This window comes from Homo sapiens, chromosome 4 (genome assembly GCF_000001405.40).
Source record: "Homo sapiens chromosome 4, GRCh38.p14 Primary Assembly".
NCBI lineage: Eukaryota > Metazoa > Chordata > Mammalia > Primates > Hominidae > Homo > Homo sapiens.
In genome coordinates this window covers 75859398-75871567 of record NC_000004.12, presented here as the reverse complement: position 1 = coordinate 75871567, position 12170 = coordinate 75859398, and the positions used below count along the sequence as shown (strand labels likewise).

Sequence of the window (12170 nt, the reverse complement as noted above, 5' to 3'; positions counted from 1 at the left end):
GCTTGGGAGGTAGAGTTTGCAGTGAGCCAAGATTGTGCCACTGCCCTCCAGCCTGGGTGACAGAGCAAGGCTGTCTCAAAAAAACAAGAAAAACAAAAAGAAGAAGAAGAAATTATTCTCCATGGCTGCGTCTTGGGTAAAGTCTGCTTACTAAACCACTAAGTCTTTCTGAGGTTACTCTTCTATTTTCTCTCATCTTTAACGGGTTTGTGTTACCCCTACAAGCCACAGCCAGAGGTTCTTTCACTGTCTGGAGATTTTGCAGGTGAAATTCAGTGCACAGATTTGTTAATGAGGCCCGTTTCTTTCTGGAAGGAAGCATATAATACTACTCGAATGGTAGATTTTGGCCGGGCGCGGTGGCTCACGCCTGTAATCCCAGCACTTTGGGAGGCTGAGGCGGGTGGATGATTGGAGGTCAGGAGTTTGAGACTGGCCTGGCCAACATGGTGAAACCCTGTCTCTACTAAAAATACAAAAAAATTAGCCAGGCGTGGTGGTACACGCCTGTAATCCCAGCTACACGGGAAGCTGAGGCAGGAGAATTGCTGGAACCCAGGAGGTTGGAGGTTGCAGTGACCCGAGATCGCACCACTGCACTCCAGCCTGGGCGACAGAGCAAGCCTCCATCTCAAAAATAAAATAAAATAAAGTAAAATAAAAATAAATAAATAAATAAATAAATAAATGGTAGCTTTTGAGATGATTCTGAGTTCTTAGTTGAGAGATTACAACCACAAAATGTTATAAAGAATTTATATGGGTAGCCTCACAGTAAATTTATGCAACAGATATTGTTATTAATTTCAGTTTTGTAGAAGAGATTATTAAAGAACCGATGTTAAATCATCTGACCTGTGGTCACACAGCTAGTCCTTGAGTGAAGGTAGTCCTTGACCGAGGCAATTCTATTTCAGAACCCACACTTTTAATGTCTATGCAATATTGCCTCCTACAACGAAGATGGCCTCAGAGTATATAAGATGCTAACAGATACAGTTTTAGTGCTATTGAACATGCTTCTTTAAGTATTCAGCCTAACAGAGTTAGAAATTAAGATCGGCAAAACTAGCATAAATCAGGTGGATAGAGAACATGTTAGTATTTAGCATTTACCCTTGTGTGAGTGCTGTAAAAGTGCATTATTTTAAATCATTCTCAAGTTATTAAATATAGGCCAGCCTCACTTAAAAAGAAGAATTATGTAAAAATATAAACCTACCAAGTGAATGTCAGACCTACTGTGCAGCAAAATCATCTTGGAGCTTTATAAAAAATCAGCCATTTGAGCCTCATCCAGCCCTACCAAATTAGAATCTCCAGGGGTGAGCCCTGGTACCTGGAGTGCAGAACTATGATCCCATAGGATTTAGGGGTTGTCACTGCAAAAAGAGTCACTCTAGGATTCCCTACAGTAGTAATAGTAATGTAGTAATGTAATAGTAATGTAGGATTCCCTACAGTGAATAGTGTGTTTCAATAAGATAGTCAAAAAGCATTCAACTCTTTGAAACCTTCATTGATTGCATTAAATAAGTACAACATCACCTGATTTACCCAGAAATCACTTATCCAGTGACTTCAACTGTATGAAGCATAATGGAGAACTTAGAAAAAAGGAGGGAAATGTCTCTGAGCAGCCATAATTGATGATGTCTCAATGTCCATAAACCGAAGATAACATCCTTGTTTTTCTTTTTTCTTTTTTTTTTTCTTTTTGTGAGACAGGGTCTCGCTGTGTCACCCAGGCTGTAGTACAGTGGCAGGATGACAGATCACTGCAGCCTCGACCTGCTAGTCTTAAGAGATCCTCCCACTTCAGCTACCTCACACCTGGTACTACAGGCGTGCGCCATCATGCCCAGCTAATTTTTTAAATTTTTTGTAGAGACGAAGTCTCACTATTCTGCCCAGGCTGGTCTCAAACTCCTGAGCTCAAGTGATCCTCCTGCCTTGGCCTCCCAAAGTGCTAGGATTACAGGTGCGAGCCACCATGCCTGGCCTGATAACATGCTCTTCTTAGAGGAATCCTCAGTCAGAGTCCATTTACTTTTTGTTTCAATCCACTTCTCACAATAATAGAGAGCCAGCTTGGAGCCAGCATAGCCAGATAGGTATCTGGCCTCACTCCTTGGTAGCTATGTGACCTCGACCTAATTACTATCTCTGTCTGTAATGGGCATAATGGACTTCATGTTATCGTTCTTTCTTCAATGAGTGTTGAGGGATTTAATGAGATAATCCATGTAGAGCTCTGCATTTAGTAAGTGCTTACTAAGTGTTACTTGACGTAGGGACAGGAAAGCCTTGTACATCCAGATAGCTTTCAAGGGCATTGCCCTACTCCATCCCTGCATAACTCTCCATGACTACAGATTACCAGGAGCAGCTTAAATGCTTTGTCTAACTAGTGGTTCTTAAACTTTTTAGGAGTCCCATACTTCTGTTAGCCTCTGATAAAACAACAAACTGTCTACAAAAAATTCACATATGCTCACATACCTGTGAAATTTGGGGTGAGTTTTAGGTGGTTCACACTTTCTTTTCCTTTTGTAGAGACAGGGCCTTGCTCTGTCACCAAGGCCAGGGTATAGTAGCATGATCATAGATAGCTTACTGTAACCTCGAACTCCTGGGCTCAAGCAATCCTCCTGCCATAGTCTCCCAAGTAACTGAGATTACAGGCATGCACCACCATGCCTGGCTAATTTTTAAAAGTTTTTTTTGTAAAGAAACCCAGCCTAGCTGTGTTGCCCAGGGTGGTCTTGAGCTCCTGGCCTCAAGTGATCCTCCCGCTTCAGCCTCCCAAAGTGCTGGGATTATAGGCATGAGCCACCATGCCTAACTGGTTCACAGTTTTTTGTGTTTTTTGAGACAGGGTCTCATTCTGGTTGTCCAGGCTGGAGTGCAGTGGCATGATCTTGGCTCACTGCAGCCTCGACCTCCCAGGCTCAGGTGATTTCCCCACCTTAGCTTCCCAAGTAGCTGGGACCATAGGCACGTGCCACCATGCCAGGCTAGGTTCACACTCTTCTAAGGATCTATGTAGCCCACTTAAAGACTGTCATGTTAAATGCCTTCAATTGCAGTAAGATTTTCATCAAACATGATTTAATTTTTTTTAACTTTTAACACGGGAAAAGATAGGTTATCTGGTCATTATTTATAGAATGATTGGTTCCTCAATAAGACATTACAAGTAACGTATGCTTACCTTTTATCTCTTTTTATATTCTTTTTTTTTTTTTTTTTGAGACAGGGTCTTACTTTTTCACCCAGGCTGGAGTGCAGTGGTGTGATCTTGGCTCACTGCAGCCTCTACCTCCTGGGTTCAAGTGATCCTCCCACCTCAGCCCCACAAGCATCTGGGACTACAGGGACACGCCACCACGCCTGGCTAATTTTTTTTTTGTACTTTGAGTAGAGAGGGGGGTTTTGCCATGTTGCCAAGGCTGGTCTCGAACTCCTGGGCTCAAGGAATCCACCCACCTTGGCCTCCCAGAGTGCTGGGATTACAGGCATGAGCCACCACGCCAAGCCTCTTTTTATATTCTTGTTCATTCAACTACAGATATTTATTGAGCACTTACTTTGGGCCAAGTACTGTGCCCAGCATTACTCTATTGACCCAATAAGAATGAAAAAACTAAACTAGTGTTATTTTGTTATTCATAAATTTTGCCTTCTGTTTCACATGATAATAAATTACAAGAAATGCACAACAGTTGTGATAATAGATACTATTTGGTGAGTGCTTTCTATGTGCCAGGCTTTCTTCTAAGTGCTGTACATGAAATTACTCATTGTAATCTTCACAATAATCCTGTGAAGTGGAGACAGGTACCATTTTAATCACTGTTTTACAGGTGGGAAAACTGAAGCAAAGGATGATTAGATAACTTTACCACAGAGGTGATCCTTCTCCAGAACTTCTTCTCTAACCACTGTCCCATACCAGGAAGGACAGCGGCATTCCCCATACTCATCCTGTTTGTGTACAACAGGGAAGAGTAAAGGCGCTCTCCCTCGAAAACTGAGCTCTTGGGAGACTGATATGTTAAGAAAGAGAGAGTGGAAATATAGTAAAATCTCTAAGTATTTTTTCTATACCAGTGTGTTAAAATGTCGCTTTTCATCTCCTGTCCCAGGATTAGCAGAGTGGAGGAGTCGGCTCTGAGAGCTCTGAGGGAGAAGCTGTTTGCTCATTCTTCAGATCTTCTCAGTGAATTTAAGAAGCATGATGCAGATAAAGTCGGTAAGAATGATCAAGTTAAAGATTCACAGAGGAAGGAAGCTAGCCAGAAAATCTCTGTCTTACACTAGTTAGCAAATAAATATTTGTTGCTTTAATGAGTGACCCAAAGTTCCCTTTGGCTATATCCTCCATTTTATTCAACTTAATGTCTCATTTATTCTAACTAAATTTTAAAATTGTAAGCTTTTAACAAAATATGAACTTAGCCAAATAGAGAGGGTGAAAACAAATAGAGTCAGGGAAGGATAACATGGCCAGAACCAAGCAAAGAACAAGTGGGAGAAGTTATAAGAGTATAAGACTGGCAAAAGATGAATGACTTGAGTTGTTGAAGCTGAGTCTTTGTTTACCTAGGTATTTCATGATTTATTATCCAAGCTAAAAATGTTGTCTGCTCAACTAATGGAATTTCTAATGGACATTGACAAAATATATTCCTATTTAAAAACAGCAGTAACATTTATGAATTCATAGTAATATCTTTTCACGTACACATACTGTAGCCTTCCAAGAGTTTCAGTGGATATATTCTAAGGAATTTAGGTGGTTTAATTTTTTTTAAATAACCAATGCTGTAGATATATAATATTTTATGATATCATTTACAAGACTTTTATGTGGCTTGCAGAAGTATTGCCAGATTTAGTAAACAAAAATGTAAAATGCCTCAATAAGTTTGAATTACAGACAAACAGACAACAAATAATTTTTATGCAATATTTGGCACTTTTATATACTTTACTGTCTGTCTTCAATTAAAATTTAACTGGACATCTTGTATTTTATCTGGCAAGCCTAGCTTCCAGCCAACTCTGCTACTATCAACAAAAATAGTGACAGTGCCCATTATTTCTATTACCTGCAGATAGTAAGAAGGATGTCAGGATAAAAATATACACACCATTGGGCAGGAAACTAGACTTCTAGGTGACAAGGCAACAGGTTAGCTCTCACCTGTAGGTTTAATCACCTTGAGTGACTGGGCAGCAGCGGTGGAGTCTGTGTTGCACCTAGGACTGCCATGGCGGATGCTGAGGCCACAGCTGGTGAACAGCTCAGCAGACAACATGCTGGAGTACAAGTCTTGGCTGAAGAACTTGGCCAAGGAACAACTGAGTCGCGAGGTAACGGTGTGGTAATGGTGGATGAGAGCACATGTGGACTATGATACTCCTTAGAGAGAATTTGATTCAGAAACAACCAACTAGTAATAACCCAAAAAGCTGGATGGGTGAGAAAGGGGAATAACTATTTCTTGAGTTTCTATGTGTCAGGCTTTTGTGTTAAGTGGTTTTCATACATTGCCTCAGTTAATCCTCAAAACCACTCCAAGAAGTACATATTATCAGCACCATTACACGTATGAGGACACTGCCCACAGAGGTTAGCAACTTGCCTGAGGTCATAGAACGACTAAGTTGGGACTCAAGCCAAGGTCTGTCTTACCTCAAGGCCCATTTTCTTTCTTCAACACCATGGTGCTTACCCTACTTAAAAAGTATTTATTCAATAACTGCTTATAAAATATGTAACGTATGTGCAACCTTGGGCTAGGTACTTCTTTTAACAGTGTTACTGCAATATAATTTACATACCATGCAATTCATCCATTTAAAGTGTATAATTCAGCTGGGTGCGGTGGCTCACTCCTGTAATCCTAGCACTTTGGGAGGCTGAGGAGGGTGGATCACTTGAGGCCAGGAGTTCGAGACCAGCCTGGCCAACACGATGAAACCCCGTCTCTTCTAAAAATACAAAAATTAGCTGGCTGTGGTGGCATATGCCTGTAGACCCAGCTATTGGGAGGCGAGGTGGGAGAATTGCTTGAACCCAGGAGGCAGAGGTTGCAGTGAGCCAAGACCATGCCACTGCACTCCAGCCTGGGCAACACAGCAAGACTCTGTTTAAAAAAACAAATCTGAAAGGCTCCAAAGTCCAAAACTTTTTGAGTGCCAACACGATGCCACAAGTGAAAAATTCCACATCTGACACCTTTGCTTTCTGATGGTTCAATGTATGCAAAGTTTGTTTCATGCACAAAATTATTAAAAATATTTTATAAAATTACCTTCAGGCAACCAGGCGCGGTGGCTCATGCTTGTAATCCCAGCACTTTGGGAGACCGAGGCGGGCAGATCACCTGAGGTCGGAAGTTCGAGACTAGCCTGACCAAAATGGAGAAACCCCGTCTCTACTAAAAATACAAAAATTAGCCGGGCATGGTGGTGCATGTCTGTAATCCCAGCTACTTGGGAGGCCGAGACAGGAGAATCGCTTGAACCCGGGAGGCGGAGGTTGCAGTGAGCTGAGATTGGGCCATTGCACTCCAGCCTGGACAACAAGAGTGAAACTCCATCTGAAAACAAACAAACAAAAATTACATTCAGGCTAGATGTATAAGGTGTATATGAAACAAAAATTAATTTTATGTTTAAACTTGGGTCCTATACCCAAGATATCTCATTATGTACATGTAAATATTACAATGTCCGAAAAAATCCAAAATTCACAACATTTCTGGTCCCAAGCATTTCAGACAAGGCATACACAACCTGTATGTGCAACCATCACCAGTCAATTTTAGAAGATTTTCATCATGGGTGAGGTGCTTCTTAAACCACTAGATTATTTGATGGGCTGAACTGGGTAGAGGGAATGGAGGGATGGCAAAATATTTTCAGGTTTTTTCAAGAATGTGTGATTGTCAGGGTTGATTGTGTGTTAATTATATATTGGAACAAGTCTAAACGTATGACAAAGAAGGAAAATGAATTTTTTCTTGCAGAACATACAATCAAGTTTGCTGGAAACATTGTATCGAAACCGATCCAACCTAGAGACCATTTTTAGGATCATAGACAGTGATCATTCAGGTAAAGGCACTCATTATTCTATCACTTTTGAAGCACTGCAAGTATTTTACCTTAAACCCTTAATCTCCTTCCTGATTCATCCTCATTCATCTCCACTCAGGCATTTGGAGAGCAAGGTAAGAAGATTAGTGCTTATAAATGACAGAAACTAGGAAAGTACTTGAGTAGTATCAGCAGCCCATAGAGAAAGAAGTGGGGCAGAGAAGAATGAAGACAAACTGAATGAGAGCTTCTTATAGGAAGAATAATTATTAGAAGATGTGATATCCTCTGGACATGGTGGCTCCTGCCTTAATCCCAGCACTTTGGGAGGCTGAGGCAGGTGAATCACCTGAAGTCAGGAGTTCGAGACCAGTCTGGCCAACATGAAGAAACCCAGTCTCTACTAAAAACACAAAAATTAGGCGGGCATGGTGGCACATGTCCGTAATCCCAGGTACTTGGGAGGCTGAGGCAGGAGAATTGCTTGTACCCGGGAGGCGGAGGTTGCAGTGAGCCGAGGTCGTGCCACTGGACTCCAGCCTCGGCGACAGAGTGAGACTCTGTCGCGGAAAAAAAAAAAAAGAAGAAAGAAAGAAAGATGTGATATCCTTTATATTACCATCGAAGATAGCCACAAAGTAATGAAAAGTGCTTAGAATAGAAAGGTGTTTGCAACCTCACTCTCAAAATGTTTTTTTTAACTTTAAATTTTGAAATAATTATAGATTCACAGGAAGTTATAAAAAAAAATATGGTGAGGTCCTGTACATCCTCATCCTGTTCCCGCAATGGTCCAAAGGCTTTTTTCAATGTTATTATTGGTTTCTTTTAAGGCATAATTCACAAACCATATAATTCACCTGTATGAAGTATGCAACTTAGTGGTTCTCAGTATAGTCACAAGATTGTGTAACCATCACCACTATCTAATTTTATAACTTTTTTTTTTTTTTTTTTTGAGACGGAGTCTCCCTCTGTCACCCAAGCTGGAGTGCAGTGGCACAATCTCGGATCACTGCAACCTCCACCTCCCGGGTTCAAGTGATTCTCCTGCCTCAGCCTCCTGAGTAGCTAGGACTACAGGCGTGTGCCACCACACCTGGCTATTTTTTTTTTTTTTTTGTATTTTTAGTAGAGACAGGATTTCACCATGTTAGCCAGGATGGTCTCGATCTCCTGACCTCGTGATTCACCCACCTAGATCTCCCAAAGTGCTGGGATTACAGGCGTGAACCACTGCACCTGGCCTAGAACATTTTAATCACCCCAGAAAGAAATCTCATACCTATTAGCAATTACTCCTCATTCCCTATCCCTCCTCCACGAGTCCCTGGCAACCACTAATCTACTTTCTGTCTCTATGGATTTGCCTGTTCTGGACATTTGATATAAATGGAGTCAAAATATGGCCTTTGGTGTCTGGATTATGTCACCTAGCCTGTGTTCAAGATTCATCCATGTTGCAGCAGTATCAGTTTTTCATTCCTTTTTTATGACTGAATAATATTCCACTGTGTGGACAGAACTTTTATTTATCCAGTCATTAGTTGATTGACTTTGGATTGTTTCTACTTTTGGCTATTATGAACAATGCTGCTATGAACATTCATGTGTGACTTTTTGTGTCAATATGTGTTTTCAGTTTTCTTGGGTTTATATCTAGGAGTGTAATTGCCTGGTCATATGGTGATTCTATGTTTAACTTTTTGAGGAATTACCAAATCATTTCTCACAGTAGCTGTACATATTTATATTGCCACCAACAATGTATGAGGGTTCCAGTTTCTCTACATCCTCACCAATGCTTGTTATTTTCCATTTTTGTTTTTTGTGGGGTTTTTTTTTAGTTTTTATTATACCCATTCTGCGGTTTTGACTTTCATTTCCTTAATAACTAATGATGTTGAACATTTTCATGTGCTTATTGGCCATTTGTATATCTCTTTTGGAGAAATGTCTATTCAAATCCTTTGTCCATTTTTAAATTGGGCTATTTGTCTTTTTATTTGAGTTGTAAGAGTTATTCATATATTCTGGGTACTAGGATAGTATCAGACATATGCCTTGCAAATTTTTTTTCTGATTTTGTGGATTGTCTTTTCACTTTCTTGGTAGTGTCCTTTGATGCCCGAAAGTTTTTTTTTTTTTTTTTTTTTTTTTTTTTTGAGATGGAGTCTCGCTCTGTCACCTAGGCTGGAGTGCAGTGGTACGATCTTGGCTCACTGCAACCTCCGCCTCCTGGGTTCAAGCAATTCTTCTGCCTCAGCCTGCTGAGTAGCTGGGACTACAGGCACCTGCCACCATGCCCAGCTAATTTTTGTATTTTTAGTAGAGACGGGGTTTCACCATATTGGCCAGACTGGTCTTAAACTCCTGACCTTGTGATCTGCCCACCTCTGCCTCCCAAAGTGCTGGGATTACAGGCGTGAGCCACTGCGACCAGCCTGATACCCAAAAGTTTTTAATTTTGAAAAAGTCCAATTTATTTTTTTTTTTGTTGTTTATGCTTTTGGTGTTATAGCTTTTTTTAGCTATAAAACTGTTGCATAGGCTAGTCACGGTGGCTCACGCCTGTAATCCCAGCACTTTGGGAGGCCGAGGTAGGTGGATCACGAGGTCAGGAGATCGAGACCATCCTGGCTAACATGGTGAAACCCCGTCTCTACTAAAAATACAAAAAATTAGCCGGGAGTGGTGGCGGGTGCCTGTAGTCCCAGCTACTCGGGAGGCTGAGGCAGGAGAATGGCGTGAACCCAGGAGGCAGAGCTTGTAGTGAGCTGAGATTGTGCCACTGCACTCCAGCCTGGGTGACAGAGCGAGACTCCCTCTCAAAAAAAAAAAAACTGTTGCATAACCTAAGATCACAAAGATTTACACTTATGTTTGCTTCTAAGAGTTTTAGAGTTTTAGCTCTTACATTTAGGTCTTTGATCCATATAGAGTTAGTTTTTTTTATATAGTGTTAGGTAGGTATCTAGCTTTACTCTTTTTGCATGTGAATATCTGCTTGTCCCCCATCATTGTTGAAAAAAACTATTCTTTCCCCATTAAATGATCTTGGGACCCTTGTAAAAAAATCAATTGACTATAGATGTATGGGGTCCAGAGGATTTTAATGGCCAGAATAAATTAGGATATGTTTGAGATGATTAAATGCAGGGTTTCTCAACAGTGGTACTGTTGATAATTCTTTGTTTTAGGGTCCATCTTGTGCATTATAAGATGTTTGGCAGCATGTCTGGCCTTTATTTATTAGATGCCAGTAGCACCTCACCTCCATCTTAGTCATAACAAACAACAATGTCTCCAGACATTGCCAAATGTCCCCTGGAGGGAGGGGAGCACAATTACTCCCAGCTGAAAATCATTGGTGAGCCAGTGGGTTTGTGTGATCCTCTTGGGAGTTTAAATTAGATACTAGGATTTGTGTGTCTCTCTGTTGAGCAGTAGGGAGCAGGTGTCCTTGTAAGAATGTCAGAGAAAATGAACATTAAAAACTAGACTAACTCACTGAAGTGATTTCCTCCCTCTGATAAGGGTTCATCTCACTGGACGAGTTCAGGCAGACCTGGAAGCTGTTCAGCTCTCACATGAATATCGACATTACAGATGACTGCATCTGTGACCTTGCTCGGAGCATTGATTTCAACAAAGATGGCCACATTGATATCAATGAGTTCCTGGAGGCCTTCCGCCTTGTGGAGAAATCCTGCCCAGAGGGCGATGCCTCAGAATGCCCACAAGCTACAAATGCTAAAGACAGTGGCTGCAGCAGTCCAGGTGCACACTAAGAACAGCCTGGTCTTCATCACCCAAAGTGCCTCATAGGCAATGCTCAGCTTCTCACTAGACTATCTCCCTTATTCTCCATGTGAAACTTTATGCTGAAAATTTACCTATCCATATGCATCAGAATCACCTGTGTATTTCAGTGTGGAGGGGTGGGTTGGGGTGTTGTGTATGTATGTGTTTTAAGTATATGAGTGCCCCAACCCCACCTCACAATCTTCACAAAGTAGAACTTAGGTATAGTGTTTTCAAATTCTAAAGTCCACTTCAGTTAAGAACCACTGACAATGTAACTCTCTCATTGTTTTCATTTTATACGTTTTTTTGAGATGGAGTTTCTCTCTTGTTGCCCAGGCTGGAGTGCATTGGCGCGATCTCGGCTCACCGCAAAGTCCGCCTCCCAGGCGATTCTCCTGCCTCAGCCTCCTGAGTAGCTGGGATTACAGGCATGCACCACCACACCAGGCTAATTTTGTATTTTTAGTAGACACAGGGTTTCTCCATGTTGGTCAGGCTGGTCTTGAACTCCCAACCTCAGGTGATCCACCCTCCTCAGCCTCCCAAAGTGCTGGGATTACAGGCATGAGCCACCGCACCCAGCCTATTTTATACTTTTTATTTATTGTCTTTAACAATGTCTATTGGTAAAGGAAAGTTATTTTTAAAAATTGTATTGTAATTCCATGACCCAAGCATATGGATTTTCTTCATTATTTACTTTTTCTTACTTGTTACTGTAGTGTTTATATAATTTTATGTTCTACTTTTAAAAAAATAAATTAATATCTAATTGTAAACCCTTTCCCATGTGCTTCCCTTGTGATTCTGTATTCTTCATGATAATTAGTTTAATGCTTGCATAATTTTCTTTGAAGTGAATGTGCTATAATCTATGCAGCCCTTCTCCAATTGTTAAACATGTGTATTATTTCCACTTTTTCATTATTAGAAATAACACTAGGGAGAGTGTTAGGACAAATACCTAATGCATGCGGGGCTTAAAACCTAGATAACAGCCGGGCGCGGTGGCTCACGCCTGTAATTCCAGCACTTTAGGAGGCTGAGGCGGGCGGATCACGAGGTCAGGAGATCGAGACCATCCTGGCTAACACGGCGAAACCCCGTCTCTACTAAAAAAATACAAAAAATTAGCTGGGCGGGTGCCTGTAGTTCCAGCTACTCGGGAGGCTGAGGCAGGAGAATGGCGTGAACCCGGGAGGCGGAGCTTGAGATCGCGCCACTGCACTCCAGCCTGGGTGACAGAGCGAGAT

The 12170-nt window shown here is 41.4% G+C and overlaps 1 protein-coding gene across 2 annotated transcripts in view; it reads left to right on the top strand.

Moving 5' to 3' along the window:
• The window catches only part of PPEF2 (protein phosphatase with EF-hand domain 2), a 42586-nt gene extending 30885 nt beyond the window's left edge, over nucleotides 1-11701 (top strand). Inside the window, exons 14-17 of one of the 2 annotated variants that reach the window (NM_006239.3) lie at nucleotides 4149-4255; nucleotides 5216-5379; nucleotides 7041-7128; nucleotides 10648-11701. In NM_006239.3, coding sequence (NP_006230.2) covers nucleotides 4149-4255; nucleotides 5216-5379; nucleotides 7041-7128; nucleotides 10648-10901 — 613 coding nt within the window. In that variant the 3' untranslated portion in view covers nucleotides 10902-11701. The remainder of the gene's footprint in view (nucleotides 1-4148; nucleotides 4256-5215; nucleotides 5380-7040; nucleotides 7129-10647) is intronic. The other variant, XM_011532039.3, reaches the window with a different exon arrangement.
• The last annotated feature ends 469 nt before the right edge of the window (nucleotides 11702-12170 follow it).